Source organism: Homo sapiens, chromosome 12, assembly GCF_000001405.40.
Source record: "Homo sapiens chromosome 12, GRCh38.p14 Primary Assembly".
NCBI lineage: Eukaryota > Metazoa > Chordata > Mammalia > Primates > Hominidae > Homo > Homo sapiens.
Window position 1 is genome coordinate 23887585 of NC_000012.12, and position 24410 is coordinate 23911994.

The 24410-nt window shown below is 34.5% G+C and overlaps 1 protein-coding gene across 42 annotated transcripts in view; it reads right to left on the minus strand.

The window, feature by feature from the left end:
- SOX5 (SRY-box transcription factor 5) overlaps positions 1-24410 on the minus strand; it is a 1033147-nt gene that overhangs the window by 358081 nt on the left and 650656 nt on the right. For 35 of the 42 annotated variants that reach the window (XM_024449159.2, XM_024449158.2, XM_047429458.1 and 32 more), the window contains one exon: positions 8209-8440. In XM_024449159.2, the coding sequence (XP_024304927.1) occupies positions 8209-8439 (231 nt within the window). In that variant the 5' untranslated portion in view covers position 8440. The remainder of the gene's footprint in view (positions 1-8208; positions 8441-24410) is intronic. The other 7 variants (XM_047429465.1, XM_047429464.1, XM_047429455.1 and 4 more) reach the window with 1 other exon arrangement.

A 24410-nucleotide genomic window follows, 5' to 3' on the forward strand; every position in this document is an offset into this window, starting at 1 on the left:
ATTTCCAGTATCCCAGCCAAGTATTTCATCATTCTCTCCATTGCATTCAAGGTGGTCACCCAGATAAGGAAAGGAAACATTTGAAACTTCAATATCTAAAGTAATTGTTTTTATCCCTATTAACATGAGGTGCATATTTTCCTAACTTTTCTACATTTTATATTAAAAGCTTCATAGTACATTTTGTGGTCAATTTTTTTCCCTTTTTTTAACTTTCTTTTTTATTCTTCCTGAGTTATTTCTGTTGGAAAAAAATCTTTATGGCAAAAACAAAACTATATTCCAGTACAAAGTAAAGACCTTGAATTGATGGTAATTGGTCCAGTGTGTATATGTGTGTGTGTGTGTGTGTGTGTGTGTGTGTGTATTTAATATCTAGATGTCAAGTAGTTATTTTCAGTGGAAACAATTTCAAGTTAATTTATTTTGATCACCACAAATGAGAAACTTTTCAACTGTGAGGCTCCTGTATCAGGGTTCTAATATTTTATATTACATTATGGTGATTTTGTGCTTCTCTTACCTTCATACTACATAACACACAAAAACTACATGAGGGAAGAGACTAGTTCTTATTCATTTCTATACCTCCACTGATAAATATTCATTGTATATATTTGAGTTGAATCTTTCTGCAGCACTCCCTATTAAATGAAAGTCATTAAATTCCATTAGACCAAATCTTTTCAGGCTAACACATTTCCCCCCATTACCACGGCATTGGAAGCTCTTGCCTGTGCCCCTAACCCCTATCACTGCCTTACACTGTGTGGGGATAATAGTAGACATTCATTAAGTGTCCTGAACTATCTCACAACTCCCATAGCACTTTTTTTTTTTCATGTGAGAGAATACTCATTAATTTCTCAAGGTCCAGTTAACTTTACTCTCAACAGAAGTACTTCAAATACTGTGGACATCATATGAATGAATCAAAGTTTTCTCAGTTTAACATTTGACTCCTTCTCCCACCACTGGATTGAATGGAATTTTATGGCAACAGGACAAAATGATCGATTGCACAACTTATCCAGTGGCTTTGATGGACCCCAACTGATTGTTTTTCACACGTCCCCATTCCTGCTAGCCCTGGGGGTAATTTCCCAAAACAATGCAAGTATAATGATTGAACCACTTACACTTAAACACAAGCCTGGGATTATATCTAGATAAACAGCTTCGTGTGGTATTTTGTGACAACATTTACAGAATAATGTTTGTAACAATGTAATTTCATTGTATGATAAACATCAATTTACCATAAAAAACAAATACTCGCTTGTCAGCATTTTTACCTTGTTTCAATTGAATTAGCCTTGTTCAGATAAGCAAGCCTATCTCCTACAGAAACAACAGTTTATAGATAAACTGTGTGAAATCGGGTATGTGTGTGTAGAATTATACTGCCTACTATCATAATTTTATACTGCCACACTGCACATATGGCTTCCAAGCTTACTTTATCTGAATGTTTCTGAATCTATTCTCCATGCTATTAAACTGAGCACATTCCACATCGTTCAAAAGTAATTACACTTTTGTTCAGAGTATAGGAGAATGCTCTCCCTAAACAATGAAATTCTCATTATTAGAACTGGCACAATAACCACACTGGTTTAACAACAATATGCATTATAGCATCACAATAACTTATGCTAAGTTTGACGTACAAAGGTAACCAGAAATTTTAAAGCTTATAAAAAGCACCATATAAAAATAGAAATCTTTACCATACCATAATTAAGGCCCTATTCTGTGACTTATTTTTAAGTAACACATGCATTTTTCTCTTTTCCTTGTTAAATTTTCTGAACAGTATTACGCGCATAACACCATCCTAGTCAAACATTGAAAACACATAACTAACTGTTAGATTGTAAGCAAAATTTATATAAAGGGTATTTCAAGACATAGCTATAATACAGCAATTAAAATTATTTTGGGTAAATAAAGCATCCCAGGAGCTGACAGTGAGCCTGAGCAAGTAAAAGCCTCTCTATCATGTGCATTGAATGAATTCTTTCAGTGTTTAAGGTTGGATTTCATATGGTGGAGGCTTGCTATAATGTTATACTTAGGATCTCAGGTGTATTTCCAAACTCTACAGAAGATCAACTTTAAAAGACAGTTTTTTCTTCTTTTGATGGACTTCAGGAAGAAAACTGACTCACGGTGAATGTTGCTTTATGATCATTAGTGTATGTGTAATGTTTAAGCATATTAACATTAAGATATATGACAAAATCAAACTAAGAGATTATATATTCAGATTTCTTTAACAATTCCAAGAAAATGTCATCAGTATAAACAATAAATTAGATACTAGTAACATATTTTCAAATCCAATAGATCTTTATATGTTAAAAAATATACACACACAGTATTTATTTCATAATAAAATTCAGCTGTCTGTAGAATGAAAAACCTAAATTATTTTTTAAAATAAAAATATTGGCTAGGCATGGTGGCTCACGCCTGTAAACCCAGCACATTGGGAGGGCAAGGCGGGCGGATTACCTGAGGTCAGGAGTTCGAGACCAGCCTGGCCAACATGGCAAAACCCCATCTCTACTAAAAACACAAAAATTAGTTGCGCATGGTGGCGGGTGCCTGTAATCCTGGCTATTCGCAAGCCTTAAGCCAGATAATCACTTGAATGTGGGAGGCGGAAGTTGCAGCGAGCCAAGACTATGTCATTGCACTCCAGCCTAGGCAACAAGAACGGAACTCCATTTCAAAAAAAAAAAAAAAATTACACTGTTCACTCAACACACAAGTATTTTAAGGAATCAAAAGAGAATTTGGCTAAGATAAAATATGCTTTTTATTTAAAAAAATGACAACTGATTATTCAACAACCACAGGTGGTCAAGACTTTCATTTCACATCACATTTGACACTGGAACAACAATCTAACCAACAGAAGTAGCAAAGAAGTAGCATACAACCAGACAGAAAACGGGCACCAAAACGGTCACCAAAACGGTCACCATAGAGTTACCCCAGCTGCTTCTGATATTGCTACTTGATTTCTCCTCAGAGTACTCTATTCCCTTCTGGTGCCCACAAATACTCATATTGATTGACATGAGGACGCATTCTGGAGAGTCCTTTCCATCATCAAATAAATCCATCTGTATCCAAACTATTATTAACAGTGACCCCAAAATTACAGTGATTCTTGCTTGTCTCTGAAATTTTGAAGCAACAGCCTCCAAAGTCAAGTTGAAAAAAAAAAAAGAAAAGAAGGAAAACAATAAAGGAGACAATTGGAGATTTAACTACCAATAAGAATAAAGCTCAGGACTGCCTTTTCACTAATGTCAGAATCATACTTTCACATTGCTTTCAACTGTGCGAAGATTATATGAGAATCAAATGTTGCTCTTAATTGCTTGGCAAGATTATGAAAGCTTCAGAGAAGGAACCAACAGAATCAGTCTTTTTCATAGACTTATAACAATCTGTGTCTCAGTCTTACATTGATTAGAAATCTGACAATATTTTGTGAATATATGTATATGTATATAGTGTGCTTAAGAAAGCTCATCTGTAGTGCACTCTGAACACTGAGTGAAATATTCCAGGAATAAATGAACTTTAAGTATTTATACCACTTACAGCTGTTTGTAAGTCGCTCTTAGGCATTTGTTTCTCCAAAATAGTGAGGCAATAAACACAATTTCAGAAAGGAAGAATTACATCTTTATCTGACTCAGTTTCAAACCGTAACATTTGCATAACCTGAAACCGAACAAAGCATCCTACTTCCTCAAAGTCTTTATATGGGAATAGTAATTAAGTGTACAGAACTTCTATCTCAAGAACTCTTTCCAACTTAAGTTTTATACTGAAAGCATTTCTCCATAACTTCAAGCCAGCATTACAGGGATCACTCAACAGTTGTATCTTGTCTCTAACCTATTCAGGCAATACAAAATATATACCTCCCAGCATCTCTCTTCTTTATTTAAGAATGGAGTATGAATGTCACACACAAATACACAATGAAAAGCTGCCTTCTTTTTTTTTCTTAAATTGAACTCTATGATATAAAGACTATGAAGCATTCTCTGTTTTCAAAGATATGGAATAGAAAAAAAGAGAGAATGTATTTCCTTACAGAAATAAAAGAACCTATTTTGTGAATATGACAATGGCCTGGTAGCCAGAATAAAAAGAGAAATTATTTATATTGAAGAATACTACAAATATATTCAATAATTTTGATACATGAGTAAAATGTATCTTAATCAGTTTAATAATTTGAATATATCATGACTTTCTGCTTTCTGGATATATTATACATTAGTAGATTCTACTTTAGTTCTAAAATTGCTAGAAAATGAAATCACTATTAATTACTGTCCTTCACTACTCTGCCTAAAACATATTTACTCATCCATGTAAACTTAGTCAATAATCGTAAGTTGAATATCTAGTATATGTTAGATCCCAGAAACATAAATATACATATATATGACTATGCCTTCAAAAAGGAATACAGTATATAAAAAGGCAGACATGTAAATAAATAAATTATAATGTAGATCATGAGAAAATATATAAATAATTCTCATGGATGAAATAATAATGCAGTAACCATTTTGCCTTGGGAGGTCAGTGAAAGCATCTAACCAAAAGCAATTTTTGAACTGAGTCTTATGGGAGAAATATAATTCACCAGGAAGGTAACATGTGAAAATAGAGAGTTTTCCAAGTAGAAAGAATAAAACTGTGCCATTCAAAGGCCATCTGGTATGCTCATGAACATGTGTGAAAAGCTTGGCATTACCAGGGCATTGTGTCCACAGTAGGATGTGTTAATAGAAGACACTAAAGCCATGGTTTGATGCTAGTCTATAGAGATTTTTCTTTTGCTAAGAAAAGGTGTTTTGGACTAAATCCTATGTGCAACAGAGCCCACATTAGCTTCAAAAGTGACATAAACAATCCAAGTCATTTATCAGGAAACAAGTCTTGTGGAAGTTGAAAGTAAGTTTGGAAAGAGGTTGAATGTTTGAGATCATATAGGTAACTCTTCCAACTATTTACTCAAGACAGAAAAAAACAGCTGGAATCAAGAAACATATGCAGCAGAAACAAATTTAGAAACTAATTAAAAATATAAGAGAAAAGTATAAGTGCTGATGTCACTAAAACAATCATTTGTATCCAAACTGTACTAACTTCTAGAATAACGGATCTTAACCTTTTTGGGTTACAGATCTACTTAAGAATCCAATGGAAACCATAGTGCTACTCTGATATGCTGACATATAGAAAAATTCTCAATTCGTTTTTAGGAGAACTATAGACCCCAGTTAAGAAACTCTTGCTTTAGAGCCCAGGAGTTCAAGGCTACGGTGAGCTATGATTGTGCCACTGCATTACAGCCTGCGTAAACCTGTCTCTAAAAAAATTAAAGAGAACTTCTGCTTTAGATGAAGTTCACTGAGGAAAGAAGTTTGTGTCTTACTCAAATCTATTTCCGTAGTGTCTAGCACAAAACATGGTACAGTGTAGGCAGTTCATCGTTTTTTAGTTAGACTGAATTCACCATTAAAAATGGAATGGTTTTGGCCAGGTGTGGTGGCTCACGCCTGTAATCCCAGCACTTTGGGAGGCCGATGTGGGCGGATCACAAGGTCAGGGGATCGAGACCATCCTGGCCAACATGGTGAAACCCTGTCTCTATTAAAAATATAAAAATTAGCTGGGCTTGGTGGCGGGGGCCTGTAATCCCAGCTACTTGGGAGGCTGAGGCAGGAGAACTGCTTAAACCTAGTAGGTGGAGGTTGCAGTGAGCTGAGATCGCGCCACTGCTCTCCAGCCTGGTGACAGGGCGGGACTCCATCTCAAAAAAAAAAAATAGGAATGGTTTCATTTGTATTAACTACCTACATTACAGCATCCCCTCATGAAACTACATTATGTATGTATCAGTTTAATATACTTCTCTCATACCCATCCTTCAGTATACTTAAAATCATCTTCCATTTATCTTTCTGGTATTCTTCTAGTCATAATTATCTACATTCATCTCTGCAAATGTATATGTTTGTATTTATGGTACTATCACAACATTCCTAATTAGATACTTTCTGAAAGAGGACAGTGATGAAAGTATTAAAAGTGGAAAAGGCATAAGGAGTGATGTAATGCCAAATGGAATGTCTGACTTTCTTACACTACTGACCTGTGTACTACCCATTGTCTCCTTTTCCTAGTTTAACCTTTGTAAGAGGAAGATAAAAAGTTTCATCATTGTACATAACTTACGTAAGCTCACAGTAAAAAGGAGAGGGAGGAATGATGTGCAGTAAGATTTAACTTGCAAAGAAATAGATAATCAGAATATGAAATATGCCTGTGCTCTTGTGAAGCAGCAGCATGAATAATGTTTGTAAGCATGGACTCCAAAGACAGAATGCTTGGTTAAATCCTGGTCCTTCCATGAATTAGCTGATCCGAACAAGTTATTTAACCTCTCTTTGCGTCAGTTTTCTCATCTGTAAAACAGAATTAATAATAATACCTCACTGAATTACTGTGAAGGTTAAATGAGTTATTATACCATCAAGAAGTGCTATCAACACCACTTCTATATGTCTGACATATGAGTTAGCTAAAACATTACTATTATTATTATTATTATTTTTGAGATGGAGTCTCACTCTATCACCAGGCTCGAGTGTAGTGGTGCGATCTCGGCTCACTGCAACCTCTGCCTCCTGGGTTCAAGCGATTCTCCTGCATCAACTTCCCACGTAGCTGGGATTACAGGCATATGTCACCATGCCCAGCTAATCTTTGTATTTTCAGTAGAGATGGGGTTTCACTATGTTGGCCAGCTAGTCTTGAACTCCTGACCTCAAGTGATCTACTCACCTTGGCCTCCCAAAGTGCTGGGATTACAGGTGTGAGCCACCACGCCCGACCTAAAACATTATTCTTGGTGGAAAAATCTTGGAATTGTCAAATGCCCAAAGAAATCTTGACCTATGAGGCTGAAATGTTGAATGGGAATATTTAAATCTAATATGAAAATCAAAGTATTGATCTATTACACAGCTATCAGAAGATAACTGATTCTTCTTCTTGATTTAATTCCACATGCAATAATTCAAAAACATGAACAAGTGGACATATTTCAGCTCTAAGTATATTTATGACAGGCAATAATTTCCTGGAGGAAAAAAAAAGATTTAGCAGAATTAGAGCTGCCTTTAAAGGCAGTAGAATGTAAGATAAAATATATTTTTGTTGGTGTAATTCAGGTTCAAATTAACAACACTAACATCCTTAAAGTAGAAAAGGTGGAGCAGTCACAAAAATGTGATCCACCCAAGCAGCCACACTGAAAAGGTGAGGATGCCTTTAATGGTGGTAAGTGCCCCACTACCTTCTTAACATTATGATTCTATGTATTTAAGTTGCTAAGAAGGACCACAATGACTTATTTGTGTTTATGTGTGCTGTTTAAGCTGCAGCCAGAGATGTTATGCTGGCTTCTTTCCTCTCATCCACAAAGTCCTGGTTTCCTAATCTTCTACAGTGATCCAGACCCTAGGATAAGGGGTCAGAGGATTTATCCAGAGTTGCATATTCCAGAATAGGATGCAAAAAAAAAAAAAAAAAAAATTACCGAATTAACGAAACAACAGTGTGAATAGGCCTGAGTTAGAAATTGGTGTATTCATATTAGAAAACTATAGTCTCTATGAAATATATTCCTCTATGAAATTCTAAGTACTGTTAGGGAATATTATAGAGTCCAATCTTGGCAAAGCAAAAAATAGAATAACACTGATTTATCATGTTGGAAATGTTCAAACTATGTTCATTGTAACTCTACCAGAAAAAAAAACTTTTATTAGAAAAAGTATGACACCAAATTTTCATGCTGAATAATTTTAAATATCTTACTTTAACATTATTTTTATATTTTGTATATTTTTTCCCCTCTAATTAAATTGTAAGTGTCTCAAATGCAAGAAGTCTTGAAAAATACAAAAGAAACGAAAACAGCGTATCTTATGCTGCTTATTGGAACAAATTTAAAGAATTCTAAGACGCCAGGGGTGAATCTTGTGCATGGGTTCTTAAGTAGATGTTAATTATAAAGCAAAGGACTGAGGCCAAACTATTAGAGGAGTAGACTGGTCAAAAAGTGAGTGTAGGCACAATAAACCATGAGAAACCTACCATTGTATTGTGCTGAGAAGTGGGAGTCCTATGGCCACAAGTCTCTTGCGTCAGCAGAGAAACTGGCTGAAATTCCTCAGAGTGAGGCTTGTTGGGAAAACTCACATGCAAGGGAAGGTGAAAGGCTGGGAGCCCGTCACTCTCCTCTTCTTCCACTTTCTGTCTGCTTGTCACCATGGCTACCTCTCCATCTGCTTCCCCATACGGAGAGGCTGGTCGCTTGGAAGACATCCTGGAAGGAACAAAAGAGGAGAAAATAATGAAACCTCCACATAAATCCTTAATGCCGTCATTGTGTGGTTAGGGGCCATTGTAACAGAAATGCCTTTTTGTGCTAGCAGAGAGCAGGAAACCATCCAAATACCACTGCAAAGCACACACAATCAGAAACAATGGCCAAGCAGGTAGCAACAGAACAGTGCTTGTTTGTTGTGAGAATAATACACTAATATAGCACTCTCTTGTATTCTGGCTTCTTAAACAAGAGAATTCACCTAAGAACACTGCATAATGAAAGACCATTCCATTTTAGAGGGAAGAAAAATACCCATCTAGTTTTACACTCTGATAGACCTTATTGAAGACAGAACATCTGTGAATAGCAAATACTGTTGGCAGTTTAAAAGAAGAGAAATAACTAAAATTTCTTTCATCAAAAAATAGACTCAATATATAAATGATTGCCATTAAAACAAATTTACATTTTATTGAAAGTAAGATTATTGTAAAATGTAGAAATATTGGTTATAAGCAAACCTCACAGCAACTGACAGAAAGTTTAATATTTGTTTAAAGCTTATTAAGGATTGAATAAATTTTACAATCACTGTTAATCTTAAAACATTTGAGAATTTTCTTTCCCTCATCTCCCCAAATTACCCAATTTGGGCATTTAGTTATAATAACAAAGTTGCAAGGTAGTAAAAAAAAAAAAAAAAAGGTGAGAATATTAAAATATTTCAATTCTATTTTCACAACTCTATGAATGATTTAGATGTGAATAATTCTGACTTATTTATCCTTAGGATACTTAAATAAAAGAAAAAAACCCAAAGAAGGATATTTTGTTTTGATGAGCTAAAGTCTACATGAAAATGAGCTTAGATAATTGAACAAGAATTAAACATTTTCTTTGTACGTGAGTCTGATTCAGAATATTATCAGAGGTTAAAAATATGTGGCAAATATTTTAAATAGAAAATTCCTTTTCCTTTCATTAAATTATTCCCATAGAAATAATGACAAGTTAAAATATTTAATTTAAAAAACTTTCTTGTAGTATTTACAACTTAATCTGACCTTGAAAAAGCTGTTATTTTTTGTTCAACAAACAAAGAGTGTTTACAAAATCATTCATTCTTATTCTAGACCAGTGAGATGGGAGGCAGGGAAGTATTTACTAACTACCACAACACTTCCTTCATATAGATCACTGATTTTTAAATTTAAAGTGTGTTCCCCCAAATGCCTCTAATCATTGATGAATAATGTTATTTTTAGTGTTATAAGTTTCAAAAGAAAACATGCATTCAAGTACAGGAGATATTCTATTAAAAATATTAGGACAGTAGAAAAAAATAAGGGCTTTAGAATCAGACAAGTCGGAATGAAAATACTGATTCTGTCACTTACTAGCTGAGACTTAATTTCTCTATCTCAACTTACTCATCTTTAAGGTGAAAAATATCTACCTCATAAGGCTTTTTGAAAATGGACTATGTATCATGTGACAAATAATTAGTGTATTATTTAACACAGAATACACAGTCAATATATAATAGCCCGTGTTTATTTAACAGACTAAAACTACAGTGCAACCCACCCACCCTCAAAAAACAAAAACACTCAAACATGAGGAAAACAGATTGCCTAGTAAAGGGTTTCACTATACAATCAACATAAAATACTAAGTTTCCCATTAGATAAATGCTCCCTGGCCAGCAATACTTAACAGTAAACCGATCAGATGTAATAGCAAGTGTTCAAAACAAAATCTTAATAGTACAGGTGTTGATCAGCCAAAGAAACAGACAAAGAGGAGGAAATAGGGGCAGCTACCATGTCAGCATTGTCTAAAGGAGAAGTAGATTTGGATACCACATTTCAAGTAATTTTAACTATTTCCAATCCCATGAACAAGGCCTATTCCAAGTATACTCTAAGTATGGAGAAGCATGTGAGGAGCTGGAGTTAACAAAGCCAGAATAGTTCTAGTTTCATTGGCAATACCATATCACACACTAAATTGATATATTACATAATAACATAATAACCCATGACACTAGAGATATTTAATTCCCACTGTTCTGATTCGATGTTCTACAGGCAAACTTCTGATTCTCATGTAAAGAGTTTGTGGACAGAACAGGCTTTAAATGTTTAAGGTCTTTGTGAAGTGATTTATTAAACTAATAAGGAAACTTTTAATTATTTCTTAGTTTTGCATGTAGCTTGACTATAAGGAGATTATCCCTTTGTTATACAAACGTTAGCATTTGTGGTCTGAGTGGGCATTATCATTCTTACTGGAATTAATACACTGGTATTCTGGTGTCTGCCTCAGACTCATGTATAGTCTCTCAATGTCTAAAAACTCTAGTCTATTGACAAGAGCCAGTTTCTGAGTCATGAAAGCAGAAAGCAAGATCAGCTAGCCTTTCCTAAGTTAATACAATTCTATGACCTTCAGAACCATGACCTTTCTGTTGATTTCTACTTTATTAATATCATTATTAACATCAATTATGAAAACTGAAAGTCCAAAAGTAGACACAGGTTGTTAAGGTAGACTGACAAGACATTGATAGTTTTATCAAAACTTCTGGTTATTTCAAAACCTAAATTAACTTTCTATTTAACTGAGTGTGTATTCTCTATATATAGCATTCTAGAGAGCAAAAAAGGTTAAGGTTTATAACACTGAACGTGAAAGCGTCATGATGCCGGAAGGCAACTGATCCTAGAATGTCACATATTTCATACTTATTTCAATTCCATTTTCAGAGTGTTATAGAATGTTCTCAATGCATTGGCCTTGAAAGTATTTATAATTCAGGTAAAAGATTGCTTAAAGATTTGTTAAATCGTTATAATAAAAGCAACCACGGTTATACTTCAATAATAGGCTACTAAGTCAGAAAAGTAAACTATATAACAAATTACATATAGATATATCAATCTGTTGGTTGTATTATTCATGTTTACTATGACCCATAGTACTTCTCAAAAATATTGACAACAAAATCACCAATAACATTAGATTCTTAAATTTTTGTCCATCTATCAAAGTGTTGAAACACTTGGGCAGAAAAAAGTCTCATTAAGAAGGCACCACAGGCCGGTTGCAGTGGCTCACGCCTATAATCTCAGCACTTTGGGAGGCTGAGGCGGGCAGATCACATGAGTTCCAGATCAGCCTGACCAACATGGAGAAACCCCATCTCTACTAAAAATACAAAATTAGCTGGGCATGGTGGTGCATGCCTGTAATCTCAGCTATTTAGGAGGCTGAGACAGGAGAATCACTTGAACCTGGGAGGCAGAGGTTGTAGTGAGCCGAGATCACACCATTGCATCCAGCCTGGGCAACAAAAGCAAAACTCCGTCTGAAAAAAAAGAAAAAAAAAAAAAGGCACCACAAGTGTGCATATATTTATATAGCTTACATTATATGACTTACACTAACTACATATCTGTGTTGCAATTTGTAACAATGTGAGCATCTAGGCTGGCGTATGCTCTTATCCTTTAGAGATGATTTTTATCACTTCTGTGGTGCTAGGCTTACCAATGAACAAAACTCAGACTTCAAAGAAACTGACATAAGACAGACAAATATAATCTAATGTGAAACTGCCTTGGGGAGTATGATGACGTAACACTGGTCTTAGCTCACTTTGTGGTCAAAAAACTTTCTTGAAAGAAATGACATCTAATTTTAAGGCACAAGCAAAATCTTCCAAATCATCAACAACTATTTGATGATCAGCTACCATGTGCAAGACACTTATTTAATGGGAATAAAAAACCTATTTCTCGGCCTCTGGTTAAAGAAGCTTATGAGCTGGTTGAGAATATTTTAAATAAAAGAATAAATACTAATGAAAGACAGTTCAGTCCGTAGATCAAATGACATTATAGCTAAGTATCTGAGAGCTTCTTGAGGACCAGAGTATCCTTAAATGCCTCACAGAATTGTTGAACCAGTTGACTTTCAAGGAAAAAGGATAAACAAAAGCCTGAGGATAAATAGACAGGGAATTTCATATAGGAAGTAATAATAAAAGCAAAGATGCAGAGATACTTTTAGAAAGTATTATATAAATTTAGGGTTCAAGCTTACTTGAAAAAAAGAAGAGATTGAGGAATATGGATCAAATCCCAAATGTAGCCTGTAACACTCCTGGAATTGCTGAGTTACATGAACAAAATAAGAAACATGCTCACTTGTAAAAAGCAACTTGCTTTTACAGGAGTCTCCTTCCCTTTACTTCCCCTTGTAGCATCCTGCATAATTAAGCTACTCTTGATAAATGTGACAGTAAATAGAAAACTACTGGGGTCTTTTGCTATTGGCTGAAGGCTGTCCATATGCCTTATAATCACTCTGCAAGTAGGCTGTCTCCAATGTGTTCAGACATGGATGGCAAACTTAGTGGTAGGGTAGAAGGTGTAAGACTGCAACAGAAAGATAAAGCAGTGGTTCTAAACCTTTGCCTGCACATTGGAATTACCTGGAGAGGTTTAAAAAATACTGATCCCTGGGTTTTACCCTTAGAAATTCTGATGTTATTGGTTCTGGAGGGTGACCGGGTATCAGAAATTTTTAAAGCTCCCCATGATTTTAATACACAGTCAATGTTGCAAATAATTTGTAGTAGTAAGAATAATGCCCACCCCCAGGCCAAGTGCAGTGACTCATGCCTGTAATCCCAGCACTCTGGGAGGCTGAGATGGGTGGATCACGAGGTCAGCCCAGCCAACATGGTGAAACCCCATCTCTACTGAAATACAAAAAATTAGCCGGGTGTGGTGGTGCACACCTGTAGTTCCAGCTACTTGGGAGGCTGAGGCAGGGGAATCACTTGAACCTGGGAAGCGGAGGTTGCAGTGAGCTGAGATCGCGCCACTGCTCTCCAGCCTGGTGACAGAGCAAGACTCTGTCTCAAAACAAACAAACAAAAAACAACAGAAGAAAGAGAATAATGCTCCCCAAACCAAGATGTCCAGGTCTTAATACCTTACATGTCAAAAGGGACTTTTTGCATGTGTAATTAAATTAAGTATTTTGAAATTTGAAATGGGGAGATTATTCTGAATATTGTTGGTGGGTCCAAAGAAATCATAAACACCCTTATAAGAGGGAGAAGAAAAGTCAGAGTCAGAGGAAGAGACTGGATGATACTATGCTACTGGCTTTGAAGATGGAAGATGAGGCCGTGAACCAAGGAATGTAGGCAGCCTCTACAAGCTAGAAAATGCAATGGAACAGATCCTCTCCTAGAGCCTCTAGAAGAAATGTGGACCTGACAACACCTTGATTTTAGGACTTCTGACCTCCAAAACTGTAAAAGAATACATTTGTATTTTTTAAGCCACTATATTTGTGATGATTTGTTACAGCAGCAATAAAAAAGGTAATAATATATCATTGATTTAAGCACTTTGTTTTCATAGTTGATATTTTAGTCAGTCTGGAATCCTCCTACCCTAGACATAACGCTTGCCTTCTTCCTCTCTTCATTTAGTTTTCTGCTCAAACGTTATTTCCTCAGTAAGGCTTTCCTTGGTCATTTGTCCTAAACCTGCACTCCATTCCATTCTTAGTCCTTACGCCATTTTGTTCGCAGCCTTTATAATCACTTGATATATTTTACACTTATTTGTTTATGGTCAATCTCTCCCACTATGAGATCCACATAGGCAGACTATATTTTTGTTCACAGCTACTTGCCCAGTACTTAGACCCTTTCTGAAAATAATAGTCTTCCAGTGTACATGTTACATGAATAGCTACTAAAACCAGCAACCCTCTGATTATGCCCTACCTAGGTATAGCTTTAAGATTAAATCTTATAGGACAAGTATGCTTCGAATATGTCTCAGTATTGTCAGAAATAAGAAAATAGAGTTCAATAACAGTATCCTTTTTTAAATAATTTCAGCATAAAGGAATTGGTAAGCTCTAATAATGTTTTCAAAAAACTTGAGAAAAATATTATAGCTCTAGTTAAAAATGTTATCTTTATTTAACATGTGTAAGTAAAAGATTATAAGAGTTAAGTAAGTTTACCAATAAGCACTACATAGTCAACTACTAATAGACTTATTACTGAGCTATCACCTACTTACTGCTAAAAACTTTAAAAAAAACTTTTAGGAAATGTTCTTTGGTACAATTATTCTGGAAAATGACATGTACAGAGTTAAAGATATTCTGCATTTGGAACATTATAAAATGAAAGACTCAGAATAGGGATTGCTTTCCTTATATAGTACATTCTTTTTTAAGTTTCTTTCTTTAAATATTTTAACCTTTGACTAGATAATACACAAATTAAAATCCTAGGATGCAGTGCCTTCTACTGGTTGTTCTTTCGGCATGATAATATTATTTATCTTAAAGTTTGCAGTTATATATAAAAAATTGCAAAAATAAATATCTAGAAAGAGGAAACTCAAATTCCAGTTCTTCTACAAAGCCATCCCTTCCTACCACCATGGCAGAAGCAACATTGTCCAATCTCAAACTATATCATCAACTTTTTCAGTTGCATGCATAAAAAAATTAAACATTTTTTATTAGTATATACAGTATCTGAAACTACAATAGAAGCATCTGGAAAACAAGAATGTCATTTTTAATTTCTTCAGTTCCTGTATCATGTAGCGTGTCTTTCATGTAAATTTTTTTCAAGTACAGTTCTGTTTTTGACCATTTCACTTTATGTCACCAAAATTAATGCAAAGGATGTGACTTTATGTGTATGATAAAGTCCTTTGCAAATTGCTCTGCATTTGTTTTCCCAAATATTCTAATCCTCTACACCAAATGAGACACAATTAATAATAGGGCAGTATAATTCCTAGCACATAGTTGGCAATGTATTTCTTTTATAAATAAATTAACGAATTGAATGAGTCCCTATTTTATGCCAAGCAAGTTACCTTTGTGTCATAAATAAAACACGGCAACTAAGATATGACGACCCTTCTGCTTTACCTTTAAGGAAGTTAGAGTTCTGATGGAAACAGGAAATATATACCTACTCATCCATTTATCCACCTATTCATTCATTAGTGGAAAAACATTTAGTGAAAGATACTATGTGCCCGTTAGACAGCAACATAATTAATAAATCAAGAAAGAATATTGTAAGGTGCATGCCTTTTTAAAAATATGAGTGCTACAGGAGATAGATAGATAATAGATGATATCTCACTAATCAGAAAATGCTTCCCAGAAAATACAATAATTCAACAGGGTAATGAAGAATGGGTCAGACACAGAGGGCTTGGTGTGGTTGCTCACCCCTTTATTCTAGCACTTTAGGAGACCAAGGCAGGAAGATTCCTTGAGCCCTGGAATTCGACACCAGCCTGCAAAACTGGGAGACTCCATTTCTATAAAAAAATTTCAAAATTAGCCGGGTATGATGGCCTCCGCCTGTAGTGCGAGCAACTCAGGAGGCTGAGGTGGAGGATTGCTTGAGCCCAGGAGAGCAAGGCTGCAGTGAGCTATGATAGTGCTTCTGCACAACAGCCTGGGCAACAAAGTGAGACCCTGTCTCAAAAAAAACTCTTTTAATTAAAAATATTTAATAGATTGCATCTTCTGAAGGGAACACTGAATATGAATATGCAAAGCAAAATAAAAATTGGCAATTCAAAGAGAATAATACTTTCCTGGAAGTTATGTGCCTTAAGTTTTTCGAGTAGCAAGACTATTTGTTCAGGACATTTACATTTACTTGTCTGGTTCCTGTTGTAATTAAGGTTGTTGTGAAAAGGCTAATCAATATTAGGAATTAAACTTTACTGTGTATTAAAGATTGTTTCACAATAGAATGTTACTTATCCAATATGGCAATTCAAAACATACATTGAGCTTGAATAGAAAGGTTTCTAATTCAAATGAATGAAACAACAAACACTTTTATTTGATGCATAAACAGAATTACACAAACTTAGCATATCACTTTAATAAAAAATATCAATTTCATTACTCTTATCTATGAATTTCAATTATTATTATATCTTATAGTTCATGCTTTCCTTTTCTCTCTTACATGTTTTGAACATCTTTATTTTTCTAAGTTGAGAGTTTACTCTGTGAGCATTCCATGTAAATTTTTATAACCAAGTCTGTCATATATAATATTCAGAAGCCTTTAAATAGAAGATTTATTTATGGTAAACATGCAGTCTTTCAAACTTTTATACCATTTTTCTTCTCTTTTCTCTAAATCCTCCTTGCCATCAGTTTCTGATATAGAACATGCCAATCTCCATACTTCTCTACCCATTTCTTCCCACATACAAAAACCTGGTTCATTATACCGTTATTTAGCGGCATGAACAAGTTCATCAGGTCCTGGCATAAAATATAAATTGAAGTAGAAACACAGATTTCAAAGAAATATAGAAAAAGACAACATAGAATAATAAAAAAGATAAACTTCCTTGTAATCTTCACTATGTATTTCACCAGAGTAGAGATCAACAAAATTTACCATAACATGTAAATCTAAAATCAAAACTACTTTTGAGCTATATTTACTTATGAATAAATTAATATTCTGTATTTAAATATAATCTGAGTTTATACAAAATATTTTATTATACATTACAAAAGTTCAAACTGTATTTAAAAACATGTTCATCAAAAATGTGGTCACCAACAACTTTTGAAGTGATCTTCATCAAGGTTGCCCCCTATGTTTACCTTGCCACATGTTTAGTTTCTGAGATGTTCTCTGCATTGAGATCAAGTACTTCGTTACACCTTTCCTTCTTTCTGATAAGAAGAGCAGCACTTTTCACTTCTTCACCACCTTTTTGCTCTTCTCTTTGCTAGCATCACTACTTTTACCAAATAGCTTTTCCCAGCCTCTTCCGTGCCACCAAAGTCAGAGATGGAGGGGAGGATTAGATGCGCAAAACAATGTAAAGGTACAAGGTTCTCCCAGGAAATGGTATAAAATGAAAAAAGAAAAACAAAAGCAAGTTGAAGATAAATAAGGAAAGGCTCAGAAATAGAATCTGATTCTTGTCATTATCTGAAAGAAATAAATGCTTCTTTACTACTAGTTGGACACAGAATATTTTAAAAGTTTTTGAAATAATGTACCTAAAGTGAGCAGGAAAACTAACTAGAAAATGTCCATTTTTGTTTTGTTAATTCCACTTCCACTGTTCTATCCTTTTCTAAACAGGGAGACAAACATTTAAAAACAGTTTATGGCAGCCAAATTCCATCCTACAATGATTCAGAAATCACAATTCAGGTCTTCCTTTGCTACCTTGTTTTCTTAGTGCTTCACTAATAACTGTAAATCACTAAAATTTTACTCCAAAATTAGGCTTTGTCTTATTGGCTGGAGACACCCAGAAAATGTTCTAGTAAGAAGACTGTTTTATTATGAGTAACATAATAGCTGGGCTGGAGGGTTAAAATTTATCTAAACAAGTATATCTGCCAGTTAAAATGTCTTTCTGTTTCATTACATTATTTTGATATTAATCCATACTTACTATGTGCCTAAAGCAACAGTAGTCCTGATAAATAAAACAGAAGAAAAAATACTTAATTAAACTCCACTGAAATCATTTTATAATGTTTAATACTTGAAAAAGATTAATTAGAGTTAATTGTGATAAATACAGCAAAACTGAAGGAAAACTAGTTTACAGGAACATTTGTGACTCCTATGTACAAATGTGCTTTCATTAAAAAGAGGTAGTAAATGTTTTAACATAATTCTATATTGTTTTGAAAAAAATTATCAATACTTTTCTCATGATTTACAAGAAAGAGTATGGTAATAAGCACGTTCTACTAAAAATTCTGCCTAACTTTACCTTCGATCATTAAAAATTGTAATAATTTTATTTCCTTATCTCAAAAACAGAAACACCTTTATCTGAGATAAAACATTTGGTCACAGAGTCTCTCTAATCATCAAAGATTCTACATTTCAATCAAGTCACTTGAAGAAAAATAATAGAAATGATTAAGACTTTTAAGTATCGAAGAGAAATTTCTTTTAAGTTATAGATAAAATGACCAAATGCCTAAGCTTGGGAGAAAACAACACAAGTCCAATAGGAGCATTTTGTTGTAAATTATTTAATTCATGTATTGTTATACATTTGTCATTAATCGCAAACTGAAAAATATGTTTAACCTTCAGCCATCTACAGGTTAAAAATGTCAAAGTCCTTTTGTTCCATTTATCTATAAATTACTTAGAATAATCTAGCATTAAGATCTGTGATTCTAGAACTTTTTATTTATAGTTAGAGAATGTATACTTTTTAAGGAAATAAAAAGCTTTTTCCATTTGAGCATGGGTTTTGCCTTTCTGACAGCTCTAAGTCCACAGGATGTGGAGGGATGATTTAAATTTTACATCAAAATTGTGACTGCACTAGACTTTTTTCCCCCTTCTCAAGGGAGGCATTGTTCTTGCCTTTCCATAACCAGGCGTGACAGCGCCAGACTGGAGTCATACGGCTGGTCTCTGAGTCAGCGTGAAAGTGCTCACCTCCTGAGTTTCCCCAGATGCTCGGCTCCTTGTGTGTCTGAAAGCTAAGCAGAGTAGCCACATACCCCATTCCTGGGACAGACACAGGATTGTGGGGAAGAATCTAGAGATTAGTAAAAACTATCTCTTCCGATATAGGCTGTAAAAATCTTTTATTAATAATATGAAGTACTAAAAAGCAAAGCCCCATATTTAATATAAGTACAATTTTTCTGACCCAAAAGTTCAGAGGATTGATTAACAAATTGATTAACGAGGAATAGTGTGCTTCCGGGTTAAGGAAATAAAGACAGTATTAAAAATCAGAAGCCTTTTGGATTTTTCTGAGACATATGGTTGCCATATGTATAAATTTTAGGTTATAGACAGCCGAATAGACAGCCAAAAAAAAAAAAATACTGTGTGAAATGCTTACCCATTCTCAATATCTCTAATAAGGTATCTTTAAAAATTATCTGCAGAATCCCTGCTACAGGGACAATCTTTTCTGCTTTCTATCAGAACAATTGGTAGTGAAAAAGGAATTAATTCCATTTCTATTGTTCTATCGTTGAATAAACCTGTCAGGCCTAAGTTTGGGAGGTGTCTGTGTCTTGTTTATATATGCAACCATGTGTGTGCATGTGTGTATGTGTGCACACGTGCGTGCAGAGAGAGAGAGACAAAAAGAGGAATTAGAGGAAGAGGAGGAAGAGGACGAAGAGGAGGAGAAGCAGAAGGAAGAGAAACTTTACTATCTAATGATATGTTAATGAACATCAATATTCTTTCTTTTTTTTATGGAACCCGTCTATTAAGGGTTGGACCACACCACCTTAATTTAATCATGATCTGATGCTAACAACTTTCAATAATATATAATTCAAAACTATTTGAAAGTTTTGTGTATTTTAAAGGAAAATAGAAGTAGAAAACTCCTTCCAATTTTTAACCCATGAAAAGGAAACTCAAATGTTATGTAATTCCTAAATATTACTACTACAATTAGTATTACTAATTTCTTAGTAATTCCAATTTTTTCATGTTATCCTTATGAGAGTGTTTTAATGTCTACATAGATCACAAATGCGTATATATGGGAATGTTTGTAATAATCTGTAAAAACAGCTCGCCATATTCACCATATTCATCATGGGAGAAGATGGATGTTCATTCATGGATAACACTGGTCAGGTGAGGTGCATAAGCAAAAAAAAAAAAATGTTTCGAGTAGGAAAGAATATCTATTCAGGCTTTATAATACTGCATCCTCTATAAAAAAATCATTTTACTTGTTTTAATGACTTGGTCATTTTGACCCCTTTGGGACTTTACAGTACTGCAATCGCAGAACTGCAAATAGGGAATAAAATTTTAGATTCCAAAATAATATCCTTAGGTACATATTTTGAGCATCTTCCCTGACTTCTTATCTGGGATTCTTCCTGTTAAAGTGCCCATCCCCACTCTTGCTCTCTCCCTCCCATCTCACATTACTGGCTAAGTCTAAATAAATAGCGAATTGTTCCATAATCAAAAGTGACTTATTCTTAGCATGGTCTACGTCTTGAAATAAAATCTGTGGCATGTTTAATTTATTTAGGATCTAATAATGATGACAAAAATAATTAAGTAACCAGTCTAGTTTTAATTTCTTTTGTTTTCAAAGGTCATTGTGAAATCAAGCAAGTTAAGCCGTCTAAAGAAAACCTCCAGAGAATGCTTCCCCCCAGCAGAAATGAGAAAGGAGGCCCACAGCTAAAATGAGTACTGAACATCAGCATCAGATTTGTTGAAAACTGACTGTCTAAGTAGTCCAATGAAGAGAAATATTATGACCCCCTACCCTCTTTGGAATCCAAATAACCCTGACAAGGAATCGTTTATATATTGCTAAATTCTGGCCAATTTAGGGGGCTCACTCTTTCTTTCCATGCCCCATACAGACTTGGTTACAGCCTGTTTCTACAGCAGCTGTTGAAAATGTACAAAGTAGAAAATATTTATGTTATATTCAAAATAGACAGCAAGGAACGTATATACAGTGCACAAATCTTTTCTCAAACAACAGCTTCTGATGTGAGAGACAGGCATACTAGACAGAGATAAATTTTCCGAACTTCTCAGCAAAAATAAAGAATATGCCATCCTAATTAGGAAAAGTCCAAAAGTAAGGGTGCAGTGCCAAAGACGATGAGCATCTATCAACCCAAACTCCAAAACAGCGGGATGCAGCTATGGTTGATGTTACAAGAATGCTGAGCCTCTTCATTGGCTCCTTTCATGCCAAAGCTCCTTTGCTTGGATGAATATGAATTAAATCCATAAGCTTTCCTATTTTTCTAGCTTGACCTCTAAACTCATTTTATGTCTTAACTGTTTATCTTCTTTCCCCATTAATCTTTCTAGTTTTAGCACATGCCCTGTTGTTTTTAGAAAAAAAAAAAGTTTAAAAGCATGGTTCATACTGCCACTGTGGGCAAGTTAGGAATGCTAACCCCCAAAATAAAAATTCAAAGGTTGTGGCATATACTGCAGAGAAGAAAATCATCAAACTCCAGCAATGGTATGACAAGTATAAACACACAATAAGACCCCAGCACAAGATTTGCATTATATTTCAAACAGGGCTAACAGTAATATTACTATTAAGTTCCCATTTGTTCATACTTTAAAAGTACGTCATAGAGATAAGCCTTTTGAAGTAAATAGCTTTTCCTGTATGCTTTCTCTTTTCAATCAGTTCTATGCCTTGGCACATACAATGGAGGTGTTTTCTGAAACACTGTAACTATAATATGAATATCTAGTTTTAGATGGTAATATAACTGAGTTCATTCTCATCATTTGTTAGAATATAGCCATAAGAAATTTTACTGATTAGCACAATCAATTTACCCATATCACCACAAAATCTGTCAGTACAAAAATTGAAACAAAAATTGTAAAAGTGTTCACCTTACAAATCTGGAAAAGAAAAACTTAATCAAATAAAAGCAAAACCTTCAAGTTGGAATCTTGCACTTCAATACAGTATTTACCATTTACCATTTATAGGTACTCAGTCTGCCATCTTTTCTGCTGTTCTCTACAGTTTCCCCCTTAGCTTAACAAAGGCCCAGCTGTATAAACCAGTCCTGTCAAAGAACATAGTTAAGGGATGGATAAAACAGGGAGGGGTGTCTAACATGCTGACCACTGTCTGAGCTTATGAGGATAAAGAAGCCTTGATGGAGAAAAGTAATCATCCATTGCTGTTTTCTTTTTTTTTTAACCTCATTACCACATGCTAGAACATTTTTTTTCCACTACCCAAACACCCCCATTCCAATCCCCGACAACTGAAAGACCTTTGTGTTCCAAAGGGGACCAAATCCACCCCAACCTCTACTTCCATCCTCTTTTTTTTTGTTTTTTGTTTTTTGCTGCTGGCAAGTTTATGGAGGCATGATCATTTAAAGACCTCTCAAAATACTGGTTTCCTCTCCATCACACCATCCACACACAGTTCCCTGAAAACATTTTTAAAGGCTACATAAACTTACTTGCTTTGGATTCCTTTTTTACTAAAATATTATCAACAACTTTTGATTTCAAGATAGTTATTTATGCTAAGGACTCTAGAAAATGATACATGCCTTAAAAAGATATTAAAGCACATATAATAGAGGTAGAATGAGTGCTGAAATCTAGGATATATAAATTACATTTTAAAGAATATGTTTCTTGTAGAATATGTATTTCAAAGGGAGTTGGCTAAATGCATACTCAAAGTGTGTAGCAACTGTAAGATATGATTCTGAAATTTGAAGGAAAGTTAGGCTAAGCTAATTAATCCTTTCAAAATCCTAGCTCTCATGTGTCCAAGAACATCAAACCATGTGGAAGATTTCCCGCAGGTTTAAATACGCATTTCCTATTTTCAAGTTTGTCACTCTTACATTCTATGCTGACATTATTTATAGAGGACTGAAGCCTAATCCCCCAAAGATAGCTACCATAACTGTATTAGTTAGTAAGCAAAACACAATAAATGCCCAAGGAAATCCCAGGGCAAGAGCCACCAGACCTATATGGAGAGAGCTGTATCATCTGTTAAGTTAGTTCTATTTCAGGGTGCCTTTTGAGGTTGGGACAAATATTTGAACATTATTAAATCCTCTATTTATCCAAAGACTTCTGCAGCTGCAGTGTAAGTCTTCTTCGTACTGTCCTGTCAGTGATCTAAAGGGATTATCCTTTTTTAGATGGGGTAAAATGTGATTTCTTCCCCAACCTGTGTATTTTTCTATTCAACATAAAATGTATATTTATAACAGAAAACATAGTCTCCTCAGAGTAAACTATTATCTATAGTTGCTTTCAGATCCACCTCTTCACAACATTCGCAGCTGGTTTAGCTACAATAGCAACAGCTACTCTTATTCTAACTTGCTTCATGTAGTAGCCCACTTTCAGAAGTAATTGAGTAGTTACTTCCTATTATTTTTTCTTATGAAACAGATATTTTATATCAAAGCATATAATAAATAATACCTGCTAATGTCATATTCAAATCATAGTACAGAAGTGAAATACAGAAGAAAAACAAAAAAAAATTCCATTGCAAAAGGGAACAATATTTAAACTCACCTCCTTACCATCATAAACATCTCACCTTGCCTTTCCTTAAAATACTTACTTAACTTTCCAGAAATACATGTGGATAATCTATCCAATACTTACAAAACCCCAAAAAAATGTTATTTTGAAAAATAAAACTAAACCACTAAGGAAGACACCATTCTGTGACATCTCAAGAGATGTTAGATATTAATTAAAATGATCATGAAATATAAGCCAAATTTTTTCAATTTCAATATATTTCCCAGAGAGTCAATTTTGTTTATACTACAGCATGTCTTCATGTTAACAAACTTACAAAAATGAACAGCAGAGCCTTAAATCTGCTCAAACTTGTTGTTCGGTTTTTCTTCCATGTCTTTGCATTTTTGTTACTGTAAATGACTTATTAATAACATATAATGATTAAAACCTCTCTGGAAATGTTTTTTTAAATGATGTATACCTTTTATTCCTTACAGTTCCTTGCAGAGCAGTAAGAACAACATGTGAGAGAGACCTAAAGATAGGTTCTAGTACATATTCATGAACTTTGGTTTCAAAGTGGTTTGAATGACTCCCACTAATTATGCATTGATATGTAACAGTGACTGTTCTAGGTGCTTTCCATGTATTATTTCTGGTCACCAAAACAACACACTATTGGACCGTAGACATATATGTAAGAGCTAAAACCATAAACCACTTAGAAGGAAACACAGAAGAACATCTTCGTGGCCTTGGGTTAGGCAATGGTTTGCTACATTCGACACCAAACACACAAGTGACAAAAGAACAAAACAGATACATTGGACTTCATTAAAATTAAAAACTTTTGCACTGAATATGATGCTA